The sequence below is a fragment of the Homo sapiens genome, chromosome 11 (genome assembly GCF_000001405.40).
Source record: "Homo sapiens chromosome 11, GRCh38.p14 Primary Assembly".
Classification (NCBI taxonomy): domain Eukaryota; kingdom Metazoa; phylum Chordata; class Mammalia; order Primates; family Hominidae; genus Homo; species Homo sapiens.
Window position 1 is genome coordinate 105,074,638 of NC_000011.10, and position 26,822 is coordinate 105,101,459.

Genomic DNA, 26,822 nt, shown 5'->3' on the forward strand with positions numbered 1-26,822 from the left:
ACTACTTATCTGAGGGGGGAGTTTTTTTCTTCTTAGTCAACTGAATTATTTTTTTCCATTTTTTGTCTTGCCACTTTTAATGCACACATGAGAGGCCCTAAAATAACTTCTGGTAGCCTGCGACTCCTTGGGAAAAACAGAGGAGGCACCATAGACCTCGTTTTGGAAAAAAAACAACAACAAAAAGCAAACAAAAAGAAACCGCTCTGTTTTCTTCCCGAAACCCCAGGAATTAACAGTAGATAGATCCCTATCAAAATCAAAGGCTCTATTCTGTTTTGCATTGTGTTATCTGACAGTTTGAGTTTTGGGGGGATCAGAAATTACTTTGCATTATGAGAGAGCTTTGGTATGTAATAACTAGGTAGGAAATATATTTAATGGATGGCCAAGAGTATTTTTGGAGGCATACTTGGCTCTTTGCACACTTGGATTAGAGAAACATGCACTTGGACACCTGGAAGATATGGAAACATCCTTACCCTTGACTGAGAGATGAGATTCCCATGGGGGATGGGCTGATTTCAAAATGGGCTGATTGGCTTTAGGTTGCCTTGCAACAAAATGCAGGGTAGAAGCACCACACTGTCTTCTCTGGTAGTATTTTCCTCCTTTTGGGGATCAAGCATCCAGTATAAAATGACACCCTTAATTCTGGAGATCTGTCTTTCCCTTCAGCTGTGGCTGCTTATTTAGCTCAGAAAAAAATGCATGCTTTCCTGACCCTGTTCCTCCAAGGGCTCCACCCTGAAGCTAGTAATCCAATTTAAAGCTGGCAAATGAAAAATCTTACAAGCCCGGAGTTTTCTGTCTGTGTATTTATATAAACTTCTGTAATTCTGATATTATTTAGTGTACATTATTAGTAATTATCATTGTTATGTAAAATTGTGGGATGCCACAGAAGTAAGCCAAATTCCTAGTCAATTATAACTTTAATAGTGTCTATAGGCTTTTGTCATCAACAGATATTTTGTCTTGCTTTGGTCCTTTTCAAATGGCAGTTTATAATCAGATATAGGACTTTGAATGCAGGTGTCAGATAACTTTAAAAATTGTGCTATTGGAATGGAGGAAAAAATGAAACTTCTAGGACTCTCATGAAGACCTTATATGTTAAATATCACTAATCCTTTTGTTTTCAGAGTCAAGATAACTTATTTCTTTAGAGCTATTTGCAACTTTTAACAAGTGAGTAAAATATGCTCTGGTGAAAAAATTTTGAACCATCTTTGTTTCTCTCTATCTGATTTCTCCAGAATTTGGAAGCTATTTGTAAGTATTCACAATTTATGGGAGCATAGTTAATTGCATAAGTGCAATAAGATTTTTTTTTTTTTTCTTTTTTTGTAACAGGACACAATCGGAGAAATTGGTTGTTTTATCAAGGCTTTGACTGGAATGCTGTGCTTCTTTTAAAGAATCGAAGTTGACTCATAGAAACAATGAAATCCCTTGGGGAATCTGGCTTCATACCTTGTCTACACAGAGTCCTTGTACAAGTTTCTTGATCTCTGGTAAGTGAAGAATATCACTGTCTAACAGGTTCAGGAGCTCCAATTTATCTTGGGACCTTGAGAGGAGAGGAATTTACCCAACTCATAGGTATTTGAGTGTACGAACGCATGGCTGGACTCGGCTCTTGAAAAGTCTTACCTGAGATTGCTCATGGAACAGAGTTCCATCAAAGCCAATTTAAACAAAAAACAGCCTAACTGAAAAATAATTATCTGTTGCACCTTATGCAAATAATCAGGTCAAGTACAGTAAGACTAAAGCTTATTTTTGTAAACAAATTATTTCTATCATAATTTGTTCTTAATAAAAATGAGTCTGGAAAGAGAAAAATTATGCTTTGAAAGAAAATCTATAATACACCTGTTGTTAGCTGTCCTTGAGTTTTTTTTTTCTGCAATTTGGAATAAATCCCAAAATATTTGTGGATTAGAAGTCTCTAAACTAGTGCTTTCAAATCTTTCCTTTTAAAATTCTTTTTAGAATCTTTCCTTTTAAAATTGAGAATTGTACTCCTTATCCTAGGATTTGTTTTATACCTTACAGGAGGCTGTTCTCTTGAATACTGTAGGAAACCTACAAGGACAATACTAATGTTTTTGCCATGTAAGCATTGGAAGCCCAGCCAGGCCTGCATAAGTATGGTCTGGCAGTTGCAAAGCAGTTCCAGTCTTCTCACCTTGGGGTTCACTCCAATTTCCACTATGTCCCCTGTCAGCAGATGGAAGCCAGTGTGATCAACAGCCTTTTCCCATCTTCATAGCCTACATCTTAAGATTAAGCTGTTATAAAACCCAAAGGAAGGGATTGAAACCGCCTTTGTAATATTGCAACTGAGGAAATTATGACAGTGAAAGAAATCAGACCTAACCAACTCCATCTTGCTTCTAACACTTAAGCTGTCCTTCTTCATTCCTGGGCATAGGCTGAACTAACTTTGGGAAGGAATTCAGTTCATGGTCTGACTCTGAAACAAAATTGATTACAGTCCTTTCCCAAAAAGACCCCTTCTTGCCTGGGGTCCAGTCTGCCTTTACAGGACTAACAAATTAGCTACAAGATTAAAAATTACAATTTAAGGGTCATGCAACCTCTGGCTCCTAGAGTCTGAACGTCCCCAACATGCTCTGGGGATAATATCACTATTGTGAAACCTAAGATCAGCACTTAAGATATTTTTCAGACACTGCACTCAGTGGATCAGCTGACACCACCCCGACCCATAATCTAACTCAACCAGGCTGCCATAGCACCCAGGAAGAGAAGACAGCAAGAAAACCTCACTTTGACACCCTATGATTCCATCTCCCACCTAACTAATCAGCACTCCCTACTTCCCTAGCCCTTACCTGCCAAATTATCTTTAAACATTCTGATTTCTGAATGCTCGGGGAGACTGATTCAAGTAATAACAAAACTCTGATCACCCACACAGCCGGCTGTGAGTCAATTACTGTTTCCTGATTGCAATTCCCCTACCCTAACAAATCAGCTCTGTCTAAGCAGTGGGCAAGGTGAACCCATTGAACAGTAACAAATTCTTAATAGCAAACCAGGTGAGTTTGATTTCATTTAACAGATGATAAGTGCACATTGGAAGTTTCAAGCAGAAGGAAGGCATATTCATTCCCCTATCTATTCAGGAATATATATATATATATATATATATAGAGAGAGAGAGAGAGAGAGAGAGAGAGAAAGAGAGAGAGAGAGAGAGAGAGAGAGAGAGAGAGAGAGAGAGAGTCAGAGTTTCACTCTTGCTGCCCAGGCTGTGGTGCAATGGCGCAATCTCGGCTCACTGCAACCTCCGCCTCCCGGTTTCAAGGAATTCTCCTGGCTCAGCCTCTCAAGTAGCTGGGATTACAGGCATGTGCTACCATGCCCAGCCAATTTTTTTATATTTTTAGTAGAGACAGAGTTTCACCATGTTGGCCAGGCTAGTCTTGAATGAGTGACCTCAGGTGATCCACCCACTTCACCCCTCCAAAGTGCTGGGTTTACAGGCGTGAGCCACAGCGCCCAGCCCCATTCAGGAATATCTAATGATCATCATTTCTTAAAACTTACTCTGCTAGTATTAGGGGTACCATTTTGGAAACATGTTTGTACACTTTAAAGCTTGCAGTCAAGTGGATAGATATGCAAATAAGTAAAATGAAACATTTTATAAGAATGTACATAATGAGCAGATACTCAATAAAAGCATAGGTAAAGCGTGTCGTAGGTGGAAGATAGCTCTCCAGAGAAGAGAGGGCTGGGCACTGAAACCAGAAGGACTAGTAGGAATTTGTCCAGTGAACAACTGTGGGTTGGTATCCTGGCAGAGAGCAGTGTGGGAAGAAGCACAAAGGCTTGAATGTCTGGTATAACCACAAAACTGGGAGAGCTGGGCTTTAGAAGGAATATAAATGTGAAGCCAGGACTGAAGTAGGAGTGATCAGAGGCAGGGCAAGTATTTGAAGATGTTTGCAGAAAGGTAGAGTAATGGCAGAGTTTGAGAGTCACGCCAACCTGAGATCACTCCTCTCAACAGACTTTTGACCTAAAGCATATTTTGAAGGCATTCTCTAAGTATCCCCTTCAACTATAATATGGCAATAATAGCACAACTGTATTGATTGGTTTTAAATATTAAACCAGAGAGAGTACATTAAATAGCTATCATATGGTAAGTATTTTTTAAAGAAATGGTTATTACAGATTATTTTTTGTTATAATAATCACTGAATGAAAGCTGCAGTGGTAATAAAAATGGAAGGAATCAATTAGAGGAAAAAACTCATCAGGACCATAGTTTAGGCTCCCGGTAAAGTGATGTAATGCTTAAACACATTATAGGATACAATTCCTCAGGAGTTTAAGGTAACAATAGCTGACTACACTTAGTTGTTTATAATTACCAGATCATGACTTGTTTTTGACTAGTGGCTTTCAATTTTTCCCATCTATTATCTAATGATCCTTTGATTCTGGAGATTAAGTTAAATGTTGTGAGGTGAGACATAAACCCCGGATAGAATTGCTCTATAGGGAGAATCAAAGTAATAAAGAAACTCAACAACAAAGAAATATGAGTGAAGTAAATACAGTAATTTTGTTATGAAGCTGAAATAATGCTTTATAGGGACTAATGGAGAAATGAATACACATGTTTCAGAAGGTAGAAAAACTTGTCTGAAAGTTCAGATTTTTTTTAAAAAAGGCAATAAGGAGCCACAGTATGTCCCTGAGCAAAGTTAATTACATTAATAGATCACTAGCAGATAAGCAGAGAGAGTTAAATAACTGGTCAACTTTATTAATAACTCTAATCTGTAGACAAACCTATGCCAGGTCAGTTCCATAAGAATTATCTGCAGATCTTCAAAAGGCAATAAATGCCTGCAGGATATTTAAGACTGAGCTATTCAGAGTGAGGAAGGGGGTAGTGATCAGACTTTTTAAATATGATTACAGATTACTGTGATATGTTATAAGGTTTAGAATCCACTGATCTAGTCCAATTTCTCCCTTTTCCTATGAGGAGAATGAAGCCAAAGAAGTGTTATGACCTGCTGGAATACTGGCTGCCTAAGTAACTCATGACTATCCCTTAGGCTTTTTCAGCGTCGTTATATAAGACAGGAGACCCGAAAGTTGTGTGCAGAATGGATCGGAGAGTTAAGTCCTGGAGAGAGGGAGACCACTTAAAAACAACAACAGCAACAACCACACAAATGTGATAGTTACCTATGAAATATTGCATTAAAGTAGTCAGTACCGCGACCAGAGAAAGGGGTAAAAATGGAATCACTTTAAACAGACCAAGGATATAATTCACAATAAGAGATGACAAAGAGGTTAACAATTCAGAGGCTCTCAGGTCTGATTCGGGGAGGAATGTTTATGATCTGGGCAATTAATTTGGAATCAAGAGAAAGATTTCAGAGTGCATTTTGCAACTTCTAGACTTGTCTCACACAAATAACTTCCTCTACCTTTCTTTACCCTCCCTTTGATTACCAGAAGCTGAAAGAAAGGAATTAACTTCTTTCTGGCTCGAAGACCTCTGGAAAACTATGATCTCCTTCAGTATCTCTAACACCAGGTCCTGTGATTCAAACTACGCACAACCAGTAAGAAAAAGAATTCAGCATGCATGCTAATGGCTCACCTCCTTTCTTATGTTTATTACACATCAATAAATCAAGTGTTTTCTAAGATCCTACTACCAAGTTCCTAGTCAGAAAAGGAATCACCTGCCATAGGTAACAGCCTGTGTTCTTTCCTACAGCATTGAAAAGAGCCTCAGACTAAGAAATGAAAGGAAACTGTGTATTTCTTTATTGTAAAGGGCAGAAACGTGCAATTACAGATTGTGAAACTGCTGCTTAGAATTCCAGGCTCATTGTAAGGAAGTGCCTTGTCGTCAGCAAGTTGACATCCAAGTACTGGAACTTAGTTTCTTCCTGTGGGAGGAAAAAAAGAAAATGACAAAACATTGTCCTGTGGGTTGACACCTCAGCCTGTTTCTTTTCCTTGTTTCCTGTGGCCCCCCTACTTACTCTATCCATCTGTCTCTTCTCTTCCTGATCTCTCAGTTTTTCTTTCTCTGATCACAAAGAACCACAATGACTGAAGGAGTTTAATCTAACAAGTCTTCTTTCGTTTCCTCATAAGAATTAACCAAATAGTTCATATTTCCTGCTTAAACTGTGTTGATGAATCCTCACGATGTCTTCCCCTCTCTGTCTCCCTATGGTCTTAACCTTTTATTGGAGATAGTGCTGAGAGAACCCTCTTCTCTACTCCCTGGCATGCTTTCCTTTTACTAACTAAGATGGTCATAACATTTAATTTTTACCGAGGGTGAAAGTTCACCTTTGCTTTTTGATATCCCCTGAATGAAAGCTGATTGTAGAAGGAGGCTCAAGCTGTAGTAGAATTAATGTGTGATTATACAAAAGAGATATGCGCAGAAGAACAGTAAGTAAAAAGAGAAAGAAAAAGGCAAGGGATGACCGAGAAGAAACAGCTCTGGTTTGCAGCTCCAGCAGAGGAAAATACACAAGGCAAGTGATTTTTGCATTTCAAACTGAGGTACCCAAATCCTCTCACTGGGACTATCTAGGCAGTTAGTGCAACCTACAGAAAGCAAGGAGAAGCAGTGTGGGCGGCAGTTCACCCAGGAGCTACATGGGACAAAGGGACCTCCTTCCTTCAGGCAAGGGAGGCAGTGAGGGACTCTGCTACCCACCCGGGGTACTATTTTTTCCAGAATTTTTGCAATCCAGGGCTCAGGAGATCCCCTCGTGAGCATATACCATCAGGGCCTTGGGTCTCAACACAAAACTGGGCAGACCCACGGCTGCTGTTCTGGTTGGCAGCTGTTTGGGCAGGCACTGAGCTGCAGGAGTTTTTACACAGTCCAGCAGCTCCTGGAACTCTAGTGAGGCAGGAGTCCCATCCACACCCATGGAAAGGGGGCTGAAGCCAGGGAGCAAAATGGCCTTGCTCAGCATGTCCACTCTCACAGAAGCCTGCAAGCTTAGATCCACTGGATTAGAATCCCCACTACCCAGCATAGCAGCTTAGATTAGGCCTAAAATGACCGAAGTCCTCAAGGGAGGGGGGACTGCTGTTACTGCAGCTCTAGTAAGCGGTTTTCCCCTCCCAGTGCTAGGGAGGCTGGGCAGATTGGACTGGGCAGCAGTCTTCACAGTGCAGCACAGCCCCTGGAGCAGATCATGGCCAGACTGCTTCTTGAGGTGGGACCGGGATCCATCCCTCCTCACTGGGCAAGGCATCCTTGCAGGGATTCCAGCAACTCCAGCCAGGAGTTTACAGACAAAGCTCTCATTTCCCTGGGACAGAGCACCTGTGGGGAGGGGTGGCTGTGGTCTCAGATTCAGCCAACTTAATCTTTCCTGCCTGCTGGCTCTGAAGAGTATCAGAGATCCAGACAAGGGGGATTCCCCCAGCCCACTGCACCATCTCTGCTAAGGGATAGCCAGACTCCTTCCTAAAGTTGTTTCCTTATCCTGGGCCTCCTGAGTGGGTTAGACCTTTCAACAGGGGTTGCCAGACACCTTATGCAGGAGAGTTCCAACAGGCATCAGGTAAGTGCCTCTCTGGGACGAAGCTTCCATAGAAAGGAGCAGGCAGCAATCTTTGCTGTTCTGCAGCCTCCATCGATGATACCCAGGTGAACAGTATCTGTAGTGGACCCCCAGCGAATTGCAGCAGACCTGCAGAAGAGGGGACTGACTGCTAGAAGAAAAACAAAAAACGAAAGCAACAATAACAACAGCATCAACAAAAAAGACCCTACAAAAATCCCATCCAAAGGTCAACAGCTTCAAAGATTAAAGGTAGATAAATCCACAAAGATGATGAAAAACCAGTGCAAGACCGCTGAAAATTCCAAAAGCTGGAATGCCTTTTCTTCTCAAATGATTTCAGCATTTCTTCAGCAAGAGCACACAACAGGGCTGAAGCTGAGATGGATGAACTGACAGAAGTAGGTATCAGAAACTGAGTAATGACAAACTTTGCTGAGCTAAAGGATTATGTTCTAACCCAATGCAAAGAAGCCAAAAACCATGATAAAAGATTACAGGAAATGTTAATTAGAATAACCAGTTTAGAGAGGAATACAAATGACCTGTTGGAGCTGAGAAACACAGCATGAGAGCTTCATGATGCAAACACAAGTATTAATAGCTGAATCAACCAGGCAGAAGAAAGAATATCAGAGCTTGAATACTACTTTTCTGAAATAAGGCAGGCAGACGAGATTAGAGAAAAAAATATAAAAGCAATGAACAATACCTTCCAGAGCTATGGGACTATGTAAAAAGACCAAACCTATGACTGATTGAAGTACCCAAAAGAGATAGGGAGAATGGAATCAAGTTGAAGAACATACTTCAGGATATCATCCAGGAGAACATCCTTAACCTAGAAAGACAGACCAACATTCAAATTCAGGAAATTCAGACAACCCCAGTAAGATACTCCACAAGAAGATCAATCCCAAGACACATAATCATCAGATTCTCTAAGGTTGAAATGAAGGAAAAAATGTTAAGGGCAGCCAGAGAGAGAGGCCAGGTCACCTTCAAAGGGAAGCCCATCAGACTAGCAGCGGACTTCTCAGCAGAAACTCTACAAGCCAGAAAATACTGGGGACCAATAGTCAACATTCATAAAGAAAATAATTTCCAACCCAGAATTTTGTATCTGGCCAAACTAAGCTGCATAAGTGAAGAAGAAATAAAATCCTTTTCAGACAAGCAAATGCTGAGAGATTTTGTCGCCACCAGGCTAAATGCCCCAATTAAAAGACACAGAATATGGCAAGCTGGATAAAAAGACAGGACCCATCAGTATGTTGTATTCAAGAGACACTGTGGCTGGGAATGTAAATTAGTTCAACCATTGTGGAAGAGTGTGTGGTGATTCATCAAAGATTAAAACCAGAAATATCATTTGACACAGAAATACCATTACTGGGTAAATACCCAGAGGAATATAAATCATTCTATTATAAAGATATATTACATGCATGCATGTGTTCATTGCAGCACTAGTCACAATAGCAAAGACATGAAATCAACCCAAATGTCCATCAATGATAGGCTGGATAGAGAAAATGTGGCACATATACACCATGGAATACTATGCAGCCATACAAAAGAATGAGATCATGTCCTTTGCAGGGTCAAGGATGAAGCTGGAAGCCATTATCCTCAGCAGACTAATGCAGGAACAGAAAAACAAACAATACATGTTCTCACTTATAAGTGGGAGCTGAACAATGAGAACACATGGACACAGGGAAGGGAGCAACAAACAACGGGGTCAGAGAAGAGGATGGGAGCTGGGGGAGACCATTAGGGAAAAGAGCTAATGAATGCCTGGCTTAATAAATAGGTGATGGTTGATCTGTGCAGCAGCAAACCACCATGGCACACGTTTACCTATGTAACAAACCTGCACATCCTGCACTTGTATTCCAGAACTTAAAAAATAATAATTCATAAAATGGCAGTATGATGATCATCATTGAAGGATTTCAAGAGGTCAGAAATTCACATTCACTTTTATTGAGTTTAGGATTAGAAAAGGCTCATGATTGCAATTCAACTTGTAGTTCTTCCAGTTCTTCAAAATCTTTACATCACTGAGTGACTGATTTAAACCCAAACTATTTTCTCCTGCACAATGCAGGTGCATAATTTTGCATTCAATGCACTGTAGTGTTTCTTCAGAGTCTCATGCTCTATCTGCTATTACTTTTATATTTGTTGATTGTGAGAAGACTGTGAAATATTAGGGATCTAGGTTTTAATCAAAATTTATTTTGTATTTCTCAACACCCTTAGCAAAGGTTAGAAATATGCAGATTCTCTTCATGGATTTGTCAATAGTAAACTCTGGGATTTGGAAAAATGTCCCTTTTCACATCATGCTCTCACTATCATAACTGTCTTCCTTCTCCCCACCTCTCCTGCTGAGTTCTAAATTCTTCAAAGTTATGTACTTACTATAATTTAGATCTGTATTCCCAAAGCAGAAAGCCCTGAAAATGGTATTCTGAAGGAAAAAATGGTGCTATTAGCCAGTTCAGGTCTTATGAATCAAGTCTGAAGACTCTAAATCCATTACCTGCTCTAAGTTTCATCTTTTTTTTTCCAGTGTGGTAAAAAACATAGGACATTTTCATTTTTATATCAGACTTAATGGAATGCTTGTGGAACTGTGTGTTTTTGAACAGACACGACTCAAAAAGCAGGGGCATAAAGAGAGATTCTTTGCCTCCTCTGGGGAAAAGAAATAAAGCAAACATTTTTAAAAGTTCCACTAAAAGATATGCTACTTATAGTGTCATACCACCAATGGGGCTATACACATTCTGAAAAGTAAAGAGCCCATGCTGTATCTAGATTTTCCCCGGCTGAAATGAGAGAGAAAAACCTATAAGTGAGCATTTGTGATCTTATTACCACCTCAGAAATCAACATCAACTGACCCTCAAAAGGAATAGTTTAAGCAATGAACTTTGAGAGAAGAACAGTGCACTCTGCACTGAGCAGAAGGAAGGTGTTCTTTCAGTATTCCCTGTTTATTATACTATGGGTAGAATATCTCTTTTCCAAAATGCTGGGTGCTGGGGACACAAAATATTTTGGATTTCAGACTTTTCTGAATTTTGGAATATCTACATTACACTTACTAGTTGGGCATTCCTGATCCCAAAACCTAAAATCAGAAATACTTCAATAAGCATTTCCTTTGAATATCATGTCAACACTCAAAAAGTTTTCGATTTTGTTCAACAAAATACTAGTAAACTGAATACAGCAGCACATCAAAAAGTTAACTCACCACAATCCAGTGCACTTCATTCCCATAATGCAAGATTGATTCAACATACACAAGTCAATAAATGTGATTCACCACATAAGCAGGATTTAAAACAAAAAAGCAGACACAGAAAAGCTGTTTATAGAATGCAACATCCCTTTATGATAAAAAACCCTCAACAAATTAGGCAACAAAGGGAACAGACCCCAAAATAATAAGAGACAACTATGACAAACCCATAGCCAAACATCTGAAAGATTTCCCTTTGAAAACCAGCACAAGACAAGGATGCCCTCTCTCAACACAACTATTCCACATAGTCTTGGAAGTCCTAGCCAGAGTGATCAGACAATGGAAGGAAATAAAAGGCATCCAAATAGGAAAAGAAGAAGTCAAACTGTCCTCCAATGTACAAAATTCAGTAGCACTTCTGTACACCAAAACTGTCGAAGCTGAGAGCCAAATCAAGAACTCACCTCAATTGCAGTAGCCAAAAAAGGAAAAGAAAATACCCAGGAATATTCCAAAAGATCTCTACAAGGAGAACTACAAAACACTAAAATCAGATATGACACAAACAAATGGGAAAACATTCCATGCTCACAAAGTAAAAGAATCAATACCATTAAAATGGCCATCTGCCCAAGGCAATCCACAGATTCAGTGTTATTCCTATCAAATGATCAATGCCATTTTTCACAGAGTGAAAAATAAAAACAATTCTAAAATTCATGTGGAACCAGTGAAGAGCCTGAATAGCCAAAGCCACCCTAAGCAACAAAAACAAAGCTGGAGGCATTACCTTACCTGACTTCAATCTGTACTATAAGGCTACAGTAACAAAAACAGTGTGGTCCTCGTACAAAAACAGACACATAGACTAATAGACAAAATGAAAAACTTAGAAATAAAGCTGTATGCCATCTTTTCTTTGACAATGTGGACAAAAATAAGCAATGGGGAATGGACTCCCTATTCAATAAATGGTGCTAAGACAGAATGAGAGAACATATTTACAATGTATCCAACAAAGGTCCAATATCCAGAACCTGTAAGTAACTAAACCAACTCAGCAGGAAAAAATAAGTAACCCTATTAAAAAGTAGGTGAAAGACATGAACAAACATTTCTCAAAACAAGACAAACAAGTAGCAAAAAATGTATGAAAAAATTTTCAACATCACTAATCATCAGAGAAAAACGAACCAAAATCACCATAAAGCACCATGTCACACCAATCAGAATGGCTATTAATAAAACACCCATAGTATATCATTGGTCATCATGTATAATAGTTTTTATAGTTGCTGGATTCAGTTTTTTAGAATTTTTGATAATTTTATTTGTGAATTTATTAGATATAATTTTTTAATTTCTGGGATTAATGTGCAGCATGTGCAGGTTTGTGACTTAGGTAAACGTGTACCATGGTGGTTTGCTACACAGACCAATCTATCACCTAGTTATTAAGCCAAGCATGCATTAGATATTTTTCCTAATGCTCTCCCTCCCTTCAAATCCCCCTGTCAGGCCCCAGTGTGTGTTGTTCTCCTCCATGTGTTCATGTGTTCTCATTGTTCAGCTCCCACTTATAAGTGAGGACATGCAGTGTTTGGTTTTCTGTTTCTATGCCAGTTTTCTGAGGATAATTGCTACCAGGTAATTCATGTCTCTGCAAAGGACATGATCTTATCCTTCTTTATGGTTGCATAGTATTAGATGGCATATATGTACCACATTTTCTTTATCCAGTCTATCGCTGATGGGCATTTGGGTTGATTCCAGTCTTTGCTATTGTGAAGTTCTGATATCAAGTTAATATTGGTCTCACAGAATAAGTTGAGAAGTGTTTTCTCCTTTTATTTTTTGTGTGAAAATAAAAGTCAAAAAATAACAGATGCTGGCAACACTGTGAAGAGAAAGCAATGCCTGTACAATATTGGTGGAAACCTGAATTAGTTCAGCACTGTGGGAAGTAGATTGGAGATTTTCATACCCAAAAGAATATAAATCATTCTATTACAAAGATAAATGGAAGCGTATTTTCACTGCAGCACTGTTCACAATAGCAAAGACGTGGAATCAACCTAAATGCCCATCAGTGATAGATAGGAATAAGAAAGGGTGGTATGTATACATCATGGAATACTGTGCAGCTACATCATGGAACATCATGCTGGAATACTATGCAGCCATAAAAAGAAATCAGATCATGTCCTTCCCAAGAACATGGATGGAGGTGGAAGCCATTATCCTCAACAAACTAATGCAGGAACAGAAAAGCAAACACCTCATGTTCTCACTTAAAGTGGGAACTGAACAATGAGAACACATTTACATAGCGAAGAGAACAACACATGCTAGGGCCTATGAGGGGGTCAGGGGAAGGGAGGGCATCAGGAAGAATAGCTGATGGATTCTGGGTTAATACCTAGATGATTGGTTAATCTGTACAGCAAACCACCAAGACAAACATTTACCTATGTAACAAACCTGCACATCCTACACAAGTACACCACAACTTAAAATAATTTGAAGGAAAAAAAACCTTAGACTAACAGAGGAGGAAGAAATACTTCCAAACTCATTACAAGGACAGCATTACTCTGATACCAAAACCAGACAAAGGCACATCAAAAAAAAAAAAAAAGAAAGAAAATTTCGGCCAGTATGATTGATGAATATTGATACAAATATCCATAACAAAACACTAGCAAGCCAAATTCAACAACACATTCAAAAGATCATTCATCATGACCAAGCAAGATTTATCCAAGGGATGCAAGAATTGTTCAACATATGTAAATCAATTAATGTGATACATTGTATCAACAGAAGAAAGGACAAAAAACATAAAATCATTTAAATTGATGTTGAAAAAGCATTTAATAAAATTCAAAATACCTTCATCATGAAAATCCTCAAAAAAAAACAACAGGTACTGAAAGAACATACTTCAACATAATAAAAGTCATATACTACAGATCCACAGCTAGTATTATACTGAGTGGGGAAAACTGAACGCCTCTCCTCTAAGATCAGGATGTCCACTTTCAACACTGTTATCCAACATAGTGTTGCAAGTCCTAGGCAGAGCAATTAGAAAAGATAAAGAAATAAAGGGCATCGAGATTGGAAAGGAAGAAGTCAAATTATCCTTGTTTGCAGACTATGTGACCTTATATCTGAAAAATCCTAAAGACTCCACCAAAAAACTCTTAGACCTGATAAACTAATTCAGAAACATTGCAAGATACAAAAATTAATGTGCAAAATTTAATAGTATTTCTATATGCCAATGGTAAGCAAGCTGAAAAAGAGATCAAGAAAATTATTCCATATACAATAGCTAGAATTAAAATTAAATACCTAGGAATTACATTAACCAAAGAAGTAGAAGACCCTTGCCATGAAAACTATAAAACATTAATGAAAGATATTAAAGAGGATGCAAAAAATTTTTAAAAATTGTTTATGGATTGGAAGAGTCAATATTGTTAACATGTCTCTACTGCCTAAAGCAATCTATAGATTCAATGCAGTCCTTATAAAGATACCATTGGCATTCTTCACAGAAATAATAAAATAAAAAGAAATCCTAAAATGTATATAGAACCACAAAAGATCTAAAACAGCCAAAGGTACTCTGAAGAAAAATAACAAAACTGTAAGAATCACATTACCTGACTTTAAGTTACACTGCAGAACTGTAATTATCAAAATGTCATAGTACTGGTATAAAAACAGACAAATAAATCAATGGAACAGATTACAAAACCCAGAGATAAATCCACACATCTACAGTGAACTCATTTTTGACAATGGTGAGAGGACTGTCTCTTTAATAAATGGTACTGAAAATAAACTGGATATCCACATGCAAAAGAATGAACCTAGACCCCTGACTCCTGCCATATACAAAAATCATACCAAAATGAATCAAAGACTTAAATCAAAGACCTCAAACTATGGAACTCTTACAAAAAATAGAGAAACTCTCCAGTCCTTTGGACTAAGAAAGATTTTTTGAGTAACACTCCAGAAGCATGAGTAACCAAAGCAAAAATGGACAAATGGGATTACATCAAGTTAAAAACCTTCTGCACAGCAAAGGAAACAATCAACAAAGTAAAGAAAAAACTCACAGAATGGGCAAAAAATTGCAAACAATCCATCTGGCAAGGGATTAAAAACCAGAATATATAAGGAGCTCAAACAATTCTGAAGGAGAAAATTTTAATAATCTGATTTAAAAATGGGCAGAAGATCTAAATAGACATTTCTCAAAAGAGTACATACAAACGCCAAACAGGTATATGAAAAAATGCACAACATTATTATTAGTGAAATGCAAATCAAACTTATTTGTGGAAGCTAAAATTTCAAATATTTGAACTCAATGAAACAGAGAGTTGAAGAATTATTTCCAGAGGCTGGGAAGCATAGTGTGGTGTGGGGGAATTTGGGGAATGTTAATGGGTACAGAAACAAAAGAATAATCACATTGGGTACACATAGAATACAAATGGGCTCAATGGACACTGGGGTCAATAAGAGGGAGGACGGAGGTAGAGGGTCAAGGGTTGAGAAACTAACTATTATGTACTATGCTAACAACTTGGATGAGAGGAGCAATTGTCACCAAAACCACAGCATCATGCAATATACCTAGGTCACAAACCTGCACATGTACCCCTTGATGGAAAATAAAAGTTGGAATTATATAAAAAAAAAATATCAATAGGAGACACTCTTACAATTTAATGGAACGAAGGCATTTAAACTAGCAATTATTGCAGACTTTTCAGTGTCTCTTTTTGATTAAAAAAAAGTGGGAGGTAATAGGAAAGAATGTAGATACTGGAGGATTTCAGATTTTGAAATTTTGGATGAAGAGTAACACATTTAGAACTAGACACCTTGACCAGAATGGAGCTTCAGTACTCCTCTCCAACTTCTTCAAATCCCCAACACAAACATACAGACATTTGCCCACGGACATTCATACAACCTACTTCTTTTAATGTCCTAGGAAGAGATAGAAACATCTTGTCAATGTCACTCAGTGATGAGCATCTGTGCCCTACCTCTGGAAGCTCAAATGAAAATTGGACCTAAGAAGAGAAAGTCTGTGGACCTTTTGTGATGTAGAATCTTACACCAGAAAAACTGCAACAAATACAGCAACATAAATGACAAAAACAAAAACTATTGGCACCTGCAACCGTTTAAACTGTGCTGAGGAATCATGACAGTGTCTTCCCCTCCACATCTCCCTGTCATCTTACCCTTTGATTGGAGAGCGCTCTGGAGGAATCCCTTTACTCCCTGGAATGCTTTCCTTCAACTGCTTAAGATTGCCTTAACAATTAATTTTTACTGAGGGTGACAATTTACTTCTGCTTTTTGATATTCTCTGCGCAAAGACTGATCACAGATGTAGTCTTAGGTTGTAGTAGAATATGCACAATAGTACAGAAAAGACGTGCCCAGACAAACAGTTAATAAAAGGCCACACAAAAAAAGGGATTGTAATGTGCTCAACTACGAAGGTTTTTAAAAGGTCAGATATTCACTTTGAATTAATAGGATAAAGATTAGAAAAGGTTCATATTTGCAGGTGAAAGGGTAGTTCTTCCAATCCTCCCTAAATCTTAACATCCCTGAGTGAGTGATTTCAGCCCTAACTCATTTTCTTTGCGCCATGCAGGGACTTCACTGTGCACACCATGCATCCTAGAGTTTCTTCAGGGTGTCATGCACCATCTGCCAAGCGCTTCATTTTTGATGTATGTCTTACCTTTTCAAGAAGTCTGTGAACTACTGAAGGTCTACAGTTAATTCAAAATTTACTTTCTCTCTCTTAAATACCTTAACAAAGGGTAGAAATATGCAGGTTCTGTTGATGGATTTTTGGTAGTAAACTGGGATTTGGGAAAAGTCCCTTATCCCACTGCAGTGTCACTGTCATAACTATTCGTCTTCTTTCCATCTCTCCTGCAGAGCTCTAAATTTTTTGAAGTCGGGTACCTGTGGTAATTTGTATCTGCATCCCTAATTTGTAATTTGTGTCTTCAATCCAGCAGCAAATGGTATTTTGAATGAAAAAATGGTGCCAATAGCCAGTTCAGGTCTTACGGATTAAGTCTAACATTCTAAATTCAGTACTCCCTCTGATTTCCAACCACTGTTGCTCCAATGTGGAAGAAAACTGAGGACATGTTTTTACTTTTATATCAGATTTATTAAAATGTTCAGAAGTCTATTATTAAACAGATATAATTCCAAAAACCATTACAGAATGAAGAAACTCTAGGTTTCCTATGGGGAAAAAAAACAAGCATAAAAGAGAATTTTGCTAAAAGAAATGTAAGTTATAAAGTTATACCACCAATGGGAACATATGCAACCTTAAAAGGAAAGGCCACATGCTATTTTAAAATGTTACCCTGCTGAGGTGAAGGGGAGAAACATCTAAGAGTCAGCCTTCATAGACTTATGGCCACTTCTAGGTCAATATCAGCTGACCCTCAGAAAGGGTCTAAAAGAAAAAAAGAAAAACTTTGGAAGAAGAGCAGCATGCTCTGCAGAGACCAGAAGAAAGGCATTACTTCAGTATTTTCTGTATATTATGCCACGGCTTGATTATCCCTTATCCAAAATTCATGCTACCTGAAGTATTTTGAAATTCAGATATTTTTGTATATTGGAATATCTACATTATACTTACTGGTTTAGCATCCTTATTCCAAAAACCTAAAATTTGAAATGCTTCAATAAGCATTTCCTTTGAATATCATGTGGGCGCTCACACAGTTTTGGATTTTAGAGCATTTCAAAATTTAAATTTTTGGATTAAAAATTCTCAATCGGTAGACTTCGAGTCCTTGACTAAAATGGACTTTCAGTACACTTTACTCAACCTTCCCACACTCCTGACCACACACACATACCGGCCCTCAGACATTCATACAGCTTCCTTATTTTAATGTACTGGGAAGAGATAGAAACGTCTTGTCGAAGTAACTCTTTCAGTGCTGGGCATCTGTGCTTTATCATCTGGCTGCTCAAATGAAAGTTGAACCTGAAAGAGAAAAGAAAGTCTGGAGACCTGTTTTTCTGAAAAGATTATTAACTCATGCCAAAAAGGCTAAAACAAATCTAGCAAAGTAAGTGATGAAAACAAAAAGTACTTGTATCTACAACAAGTACAGCCATGTGCTTATCTAAGCATTGAATCACTCTCCTCAGGGCGTTTTAAATCTGTGGTTGGATCTAATGTCCATGAGGGACACAGGGAAATTAGAGTCCATTCATGTGTCTCTGCAGGGCAGGAGGTGGGTGAAACTAAATGATTATTTTATTGAGGCTGTTGGTCTTAACAGATTGGATCTGGCTCCCAGGCTTGTTCACTCTCCAAAGAACTTCAAAACTTTTTTGGAAGGAAGGGTGTTATTGGAAGATAAACATGTCTGGATCTGCTTTCTATGCTTCCAATTGCAATAGCCAAGCATTCGGGGAAGCAGAGTGAAAATAGCATCCACTAGAGCCCTATCTTGTGGAAAATTTCCTCCACATCACAGGAACAGGAATATTCTTGCAGTTGTTCAATGACTCATAACAAAAAGAGCCCTTTGCAGGATGTCTCCAGCAAACATTATCTATTGATAAAGCTTTAAATCTCAAGATTGACTCTTGCCCGAAGAAAGAGAAGAAACTCTAGTATTTCTGCTCCAGCTGAGGCATATTTTGGAGTTCATCTATTTTCCATACACTTCACTGTATTTTTTAGTGAATACATTTGAAGTTCAGTGAGTATATTTTTACTGATACTCTAAATGGTGCTGTATATGGTGCAGGTACTAACGTTGCATAGTCCCAGAGTTACAGTCGTAAATTTAGTAGAGAGTTAGGAAAAGGCAGAATGTGGTAAAGGGAAGGAATTGGGATTTGAAAAAGAAATATCTAAATGTGCATCCCCAAAGTGCTGTTACTGACTGTGATTTAAGTTAATTGTCCATGCTGATATGCAATAGACTCAGCTATACAGGGAATGGTAACAATTTCATACACAGGAGATATCTGAGTCTACACTAGTGTCTGAGCTAACAAAGGGTATGTAATACTCAGTCTATACAGGGTAATTATGTTAATAAATTCTCAATGTATGTACTTCACATAAAATTTTAATGAAAATTTAATAACATTGACTGTAAGATATTTCCACACGAAGAGTTAACCATAAAAATCATAAAACAGAACAAAAGTAGAAATCTAGGAAAAGTCAATAAAAGGATGTTGACATCATAATGGACAATAAGAAGTTCTTATGGAAGAGAAAAATATTAAAGAAAACAATATTTATTACATGGTAGACACGGAAGTAATGAAGACATGTGAAAATTATACAAAGGGAGGCATAAGAGAAAAGCAGTAGCAATAGCTCTGTGTATAATCACAGACTTCTTTAATGACACATTTCAGCCAATTATAATGGTCATAAAGTGTATATTAATAATAAAATTCTATTTAGAACCACAGCTATCTTAGTTGAAGGAAGTAGGTAAGAGATAAGGTGGAAACAGGTGTTTCTGCAAATGTTTTGTGAAATTAAGGAAGTAGATAGTTACTTTTCCTCAGGAGAGCACTATGAAATAGTTGGGATTTGCACAGCAGAATGTGGAGCTAGGCTTAATATGGGAGTTATAAATAACTAAATGGAGTTTCTGACAGTCATATGGAAAGGAGGAGTAAGGAAAATGAAAGAAAAGAAAAACACGGAAATCAGCAGGATTGGTGATGAGAAGCCGGGGGCCTACAAAATGCTATATAGAGGGCCATGAATGTCATGTGGAAGGCTGGGATCAAAGGATATTAAAGAACAGTTCTGTCTAATGTTATAGTCTACTCTATGTACTCAGGCTGGAAATGTATTTTTTTGTGTGTTTATCTTGTCATTGGTTTTGATCATTGAAAAAATATTGAGTTCTGCATCAGGGCATGTTCAAGACAATATAGAACCAAACTTCTTCTGAAAGAAGATATCTCATTGTACAAATTATTTCAGAAAATTTAACTACTTGAGCAGAGGCAGGGCCTTTGAGCCAGAGGTGACCAAGACAATGCGAGTCCTCTCAGGAAACTGCCATACAAGGTGGATAAAAGCATTCAAGTCATTTTTATTTAAACCTTGCTAAGAAAAGTAACTGAATGAAGTTATAAAATAAAAACATTTTAAATAATACCAGTTCTTTAATGTGTACTTCTTTCTGTCATGTGCAATATTTCACATATATTAATTTCTTTAATCCTTAAAAAATGATATTTATATTCATATATATTAGTGAGTAATTCAAGGAAAGTACAGGGAGGAACTAGTGGAGCTAGTTTACAAAGTACTAAATGACTAGATCTGTCAATAATAGCAAGATTCTTACTGCAAAGCATACATTTAGAATAATGCGTATATATTCTGCTTTATATACTTGCTTCTAGGTAAAACCCACTTTAATTTAGGGGCCCAAAGTTCCTCGCTTGCTGTTCTACTTTTCTGAACCCTGCTTCTACTCTTCTCCTATGAATACTTGATGTTAGGCCCAATTGGTCCATTGAATGATCTCAACATGGAGGACCTTTTCTATGTAGAGTCAGACTCTAATGTTCTACAGCAGAGATCGTCTTCCATTTCATTCTCTGTTATCTCTCACAGTTCTAAAATATTTTGCAACAGAGAGGAGTTCATTAATTACTAAATCAGTGAAAAGAAGTGCTTACTTGCTCTTTGAGGATAAAGGGAATCCTGTGTATAACTTGGAACAAAGCTTTAGTTTGTGTTCAAAAATCTTATCTAAAGTTCTGCACAGGTATCTACCCTCTAGTGGGTGGCTGTGAGTTTTTCTATTGATAACACCCACAAAGATGTTCTGTGTACAAGAAACCTGTTACCTAATGTGGAAGAGCAGAAAGCAATAAAATCCTTCTCTATGTGTACTTGATTAATAGCATCATCCTCAAAATCTCCCGGAGTTGGTAAAGATATATTTTCAGAGGCCGGTACTGAATCTTTTACCAACACCACACCATGGTTCTCTGGAAAGACAAAATTTGGTTTGTTACTACTACCAATGGCTGAGAGGACAACGTTCTCCTCTTAGCGTCTGTTCAATCATATTTATCAATATATTTGCTCTATCATTAATTCACATGCACATACACACATACATTCAAGTAACATTCTTTCAACAATTCTTATTTCTTCTAACTCTCAAACTAATTTTAAAAACCACCAAACATCAAAGTCTCAGACTTGAATATAAAACAAATATCTACCAACCAGTCATACAATTCACAGAAGCCACATCTTGAGTGCTGACAGTGTATGTTCTTTGACACTAAAAAACAGACATAAACTGAAAATTCATGATGAATACAGATGAGGACAGTATTTGAATGTCTGGTGTTCTCAAAGACATTAGCCTCACCAACATGGCAGGCCTGGATGATTATCACCTTGGGTTTGTCCTTCAAACTTGGGCAGTTCTTGCTATTCAACGTTTTAAAGATTTCATTGAGTTGTAATACATCTGGGACTTGCTCAGAGTATTTCTTCCCACAAATGCCTTCCCGAATACCATGAGACCAGAGGCCTTGTGCTCTTGGTGCAGAGAAAATACCTCCAACTCTGTAGTCATTTCCTGAAAGAGACCATACTGCTGATTTTGGACTATGTGATTAACCCTCATGGCACCTTGGAAAGCCAATAAATAAGTACTTAAGGATTTCTTAAGTAATTTCATGACAAACAATGGAGGGCCAAAAAACCTTTTAGTCTTAATTTCGAGAAAGGTGAAGGAAGGTGTTGTAGGAAGTCATTCAGAGTTATCTGGTAAAGAGAACGTGGCATTACTGAGAAAAAAAAAAAAAAAACCTTCACATTTAAGTTAAACCAGACTCATGCTGAATGACTCTGATGTTTCAGGGGAATATGTAGCATCCAGCATCCTTCCATGGCAAGTTTATATTTTAGATTATCAACAGATTACAATTCTTGGTCCTACAACCAAGCTTTCTAATATTATTTAGTTACACAAAGGGCATGACCGTTGTCTCTATGGTATAATAGACCTTACCGAAGCAGTGAGATTTCTTTTCTCATCCACCTTGTACCCCAGATTTTGTAGCAGCATCATCATGCCTATGACATCAACCTCAGCTCCCACTCTTTTAGAAAGACTGTCAAACTCTTTGTTAAAGATAATGAGAGCAAGCATGATGTGTGCAGCTTGACTTGCCCATTATTGGATAAATCTGTAGGAAATGCAGTTTGGATGAATAGTCTTATTCTCTGTAATTTAATATTCACCTGGTTAATTTATGACCATTTTCCCTTTCTTAGTCCTATCAAGGTACCAAATCCCTTGGACTACACATTGAAAATGGGGAACGGAATTCAGTGCTACTTCGAGAGTAGGCATAGAAACTGCAAAGGCCCAGATGGCAGGTTAGCTACTGACTTCATTTTTCTTGATACGTAGGATTTTGAAAAATGCACAAGCTTTGAAGCCAGAATGCCTGAATTCTAAAACTGATTGCTCTAATTTTTTATTGTTTTTCTTTGGGCAGAATATTTAACAACCCCATGTCTCAGCTTCTAGATCTCTAAAATGGATTATTTTTAAGGTTAAAAATTATGTATTATCATGTACAAAATGCTTAGAACAGTGCCCACTCTTAGTGAACATTCAATAGCTGCCATTGTTGATGTTATTTATCCAGGAATTGGGTGCAATTAGGAACTGTTTCTATAAACCTGGGATCCTAGGATGCAGGATTTTTTTTTTTTTTTTAGGTAAAGGAAGCAGAAGTAAGATTCTCCGTTGAGAACAGCTCTAAGAAAAAGCCACTGCATTTCAGAATTGCCTCAAATGTATCTTTCACCCCACTCTAACCTTGTGTTCTGAGCATGGCACCTCTGTCAACTTTTCTTTCCATATCCTTTTAGCTTCGTCTAGGGAGCAAAGCTTGATGCTTCCTCCTGAGCCTGAGGATGTAGGCATAGCAGGGCTGTCCCACACTGCCACAGCCTGAGGAGTCGCAAGAGTCAAAGAATATCATGAACATTGGCATCCCTCTTTGTTCCGCTTTGTGTTTCTTACAGCCTCACCTAAGGATGAAGCCACAAAAGTGGAAATGCATTCTTAGGAAGACAATCCTGATCTTTCACCGCTGAATAATTTCACTGCTAATGGAGTACATTTCCAGCCAGAGATTTCCAGGTGTGCAATACAGGGATCTCCTTTCATATTTCAGGATCAGTATTTTTACAAGTATTTTAGATAAAAATGTAGAAAGGAAGCTTTTCAAGGCCATGCATGAAAAAATGCTCAGAAAACAATCAAATGTGTGAGATAAAATAGAACATAAATTTATTTCAAAAGATTTGAACCATAGAATAAAATTTAATGGGAGGAGGTCTTAACAAAATCTACCAAAAATCTTTAAGAAATATGTTTATCTCTTTATTTATTTACTGAATAGACATGGTAGTAAGCACTAGGAATACTTTTTTAATGAACTTTGGCCTGTCCTTCAGGATCTCTTCCTACTATGTATACATATGGAAGAAGGAGATTATTAAATATATGAACTAGAATGATAAATGCTAAAATCAAAGTGCACACTAGATGGATTTATAGCACTTAACATTGACTGCACAGACATATGAGGAAATGTTTTCACAGAGTTTATGTGAAAAAATCCTTGCAGCTTTTATTTCATCACCAGTACAACACCATCCGACAATGTGATATAGTTGTTAAAAAACTTAATGTAATCTTTGTTTCAAGATAGAAATTAGTTTTCTAGATTTGTGGAGTATCTTTTAGAAACTATTATGTCAAGGAAATAATATTTAATTTTGAAAACAAGTTTGAGAAACTGTTATACAATTAGTTAGATAAATAAAGGCAGCATGAATTGTGTTGACTTGGGGAAGAACTAATTGGAATGGATATATTGGAGAAAACTAAAAATTAGTAATTTGATAGAAGAAATGTTTGGTTTCTTCAGAAAGAAGAATGAAAACGACATAAAAAAACTAAATAGAGGTATATGAGTTATGTTTGAGGTAATTTTTCTTAGTGAAAATGCAGTATTTGGTTATATAGTGAGTGTCCCATGCTGTAAAACATTTAAGAAAATATTCATGAGTTAATCAACCTTAATAAATTCAATAGAGTAAAAACTGAAGTTGATAGAAAAATTTACACTTCTTGCCTCTAAATTGCTTTTAAATATAAGTTTCTTTTATTTTAAGAGGGCCCTTGATGAATAGGGGTTTTTAATGAAATAGAAGAAGAAATAGCGAGACAGTTCCAAATTTGAGAGAAGAATGCATAAAACTTGGCGGTGGCTTGAATATTGGAGATGCGTGAGAGGAAAGGGGCCAAGATGTGTTTCAAGTTCCTGGTTTGAACAACTGGTGATGGTGACATCAATAACCGAGTTACACAAAACTGGAAGAGAAGCAGGGTGGGGAAGAATGGCATGTTCAGCTCTGATATTGTTTAGATAAAGGTGTCTCTAGGAGACGTGAGGGAATATTTCAGTAGGCTTAAATGATGAAGTTTGGTACTTATTTGGGTAATCAGGATTTGAGATACTGATTCCAAATTTTAATGTAAACATAGATAGTGAAGCTGTTTTGACAGTTGCTACAAAAGCAGAATAGATTACAAAAAGAAAATTGTATGATCACTCTATGGGAATTCTTCATAGCCCCTTTAACTGTGGTTCATCCTACAACATTAATGTCACGGGAAGCCACGGTTCAAAGAATGCTCTTTCTTTAAAAACAGCATTACCTAGGAAGGAAGTACTATTTGAGAATCTTGTGTAGTAAGGTGATTTCCAGATGTTGGACCTAGAGAAAGAAGAAGGACATTGAAATAGTCACTTATCATCTCTGGAAAACTTTACCCTAATGCTTACAACACTCCCCACTAAAGATTCCTCCCACAACCCTGACTGAACGACATTAAATAACGTTCAAAATGTTCTTTAATTTAGAGAGTCGTGGGGGTATAAAATGAAAGAGACATTGTCAGAAAAATATGACATTTATTACACATAGATGAAAACATAAACTTCTCCCATGTCTGCTTAGACAGGCGTAAGCTTCCTCTAACCCTTAGAAAACAAAACAAAACAAAAAAAGCCTTTTACTTTGAAAGAACATCTGCCTCTGAAGTGGCATTGGAAAGTACCACAGAGACCAGTAACTAGGAGTCCACCAGAACTCTCATCCTCACCATGTGGTAGGTCCAAGGGATCACAGGAATGGGCCAACTCATTTCCTGTGCACTGTATCAGGTCACAAGGTGGCCACAAATGGAGGCAGTCCAGGGCTCACAGCATGATCCACAGCCTGATAACAGGCAAGTGGGTGATCTTACTCAAAAGAAAATGCAAGGAGGCAACGGGAGGAAAAAGCCAACTTGAAATCCTTACTTTTCTATAATCATTCAGTGTATTCTCTGAGTATATCACCACTTTTGAAATATAACTTATTCTTCTTGGAGGGCAATATTTTGGAGAGAAGTTATAAAACGTATTTAATTACAGACCTTAAACCTTCATGACAGACAACTACATAAGTGCCTGGGTACACCCTGGACTCAAAAATACTAAATCAATCAATAAATATTGTGCCTCGCCTGGAACAGTGGAACATATAGTGTGAAGCTTTTTAGATAGTTCTCATAACCTTCAGGAAATCAGCTACCGCTTACTCAGAACAGGAAATGTGCTTTAATCAGAAGAGGGCCACTGAGGATGAGTAAACAGAAACGAAGGAGAGTCAAGGGACATGCAGTAGGGCCCGTGTTACAGAAATATTGCCTGAAGCCAGAGAGAAGGAAGTTTTCTGCAACTTAACATGACTAGTAAAGACATCACATGGTAGTCACAATGACAGGCCCTAGGCGAACTTGAGTATGAGTCACTGACCCTTACCTGCTGAGAGTCCCAGCGTCCCTGCCAGGTGACTGTCTTCTTCACAAATGTATGTGATGCAAATTTGGCATGCTGGAGCCCCTTTCCGAATAACAGAGTCAAGCAAAGCTCGGGCCTTATCCATAACTGTAGCATTTTCACATTTTACTATCTCTATCTCTTCCTGGCTCAGCACCCTTGTCTCCAATAATTCACCCAGTAAGCCATTTATTGTACCTTCGCCCACTGAACGGATAAACTGCTTTCTCTTCTCCTTCAGGACCTTGTCTGTTTGGAGCACAAGGATTTCTCACATCATGAAAACAGCCTCATATTCCTCTCATGTCATCACCAGAAGGCAACCTCATTTAGATTTCATCAGTGAAATGTCCCCCTCCTCACAGTTGGGTAATCCCTCTTCTTACTTTATCGCTGTACTACTTGTTTCCCTCAATAGTCTCCATACATGTGCATGGAGTGGCCTGAAGACTCAGTTTACCATTTCCACATTAGTCCCTGGAAAGCAGAAATCATCCTCTTATGTCACATGATTATTTAACTCTGAATAATAAAGTAATGAAACAGAAATAGCCCATTTCATTTAGGAACCACTGCTGCTAGTACTCCTCCTGTGCCAATTCTGTAGCCTCTGCCACACTTACAACATGTAAGAGTTTAAATAAGATTGCAAAATGACAGCAAGCTACTCCTAAAGCCTCAGTTCCTTTCTGGGCTTTCCTTTCCTTTCTAAAGGCTGCAAGAGTCATCTAATTTCTTCTCTCCTCACTCTCCTCCCTGTCCCTCACTTTTGCTCACATAAACCTCCACAGATACTGATGATAGCTTCCAGAAGAGCAAGCGCCTTCCACAACTTTTTCCTCCCAGGGGCCTGTTTTTGGGACAGTAAAAGACTCACCGGCCATGGCTTTTCTCTCCTCCCTTCTTGTGTAAGCTGAAACTGAAAGCAT

The 26,822-nt window shown here is 37.9% G+C and overlaps 1 long non-coding RNA gene and 2 pseudogenes across 2 annotated transcripts in view; 1 reads left to right on the forward strand and 2 right to left on the reverse strand.

Annotated features, from left to right (window-relative positions):
• Positions 1-1,517, forward strand: part of LOC107984381 (uncharacterized) — a 28,155-nt gene extending 26,638 nt beyond the window's left edge. Inside the window, exon 3 of the long non-coding RNA XR_001748352.2 lies at positions 1,357-1,517. This is a non-coding gene — a long non-coding RNA (uncharacterized LOC107984381). The remainder of the gene's footprint in view (positions 1-1,356) is intronic.
• A 4,298-nt stretch (positions 1,518-5,815) lies between these two features.
• Positions 5,816-26,822, reverse strand: CARD17P (caspase recruitment domain family member 17, pseudogene; annotated as a pseudogene). Its single transcript, NR_172520.1, has 5 exons — positions 26,771-26,822; positions 25,876-26,142; positions 24,726-24,784; positions 17,817-17,947; positions 5,816-5,963 (listed from the first exon to the last, which is right to left on the reverse strand). The product of NR_172520.1 is annotated as a caspase recruitment domain family member 17, pseudogene (transcript).
• On the reverse strand, positions 20,801-22,952 carry CASP1P3 (caspase 1 pseudogene 3; annotated as a pseudogene).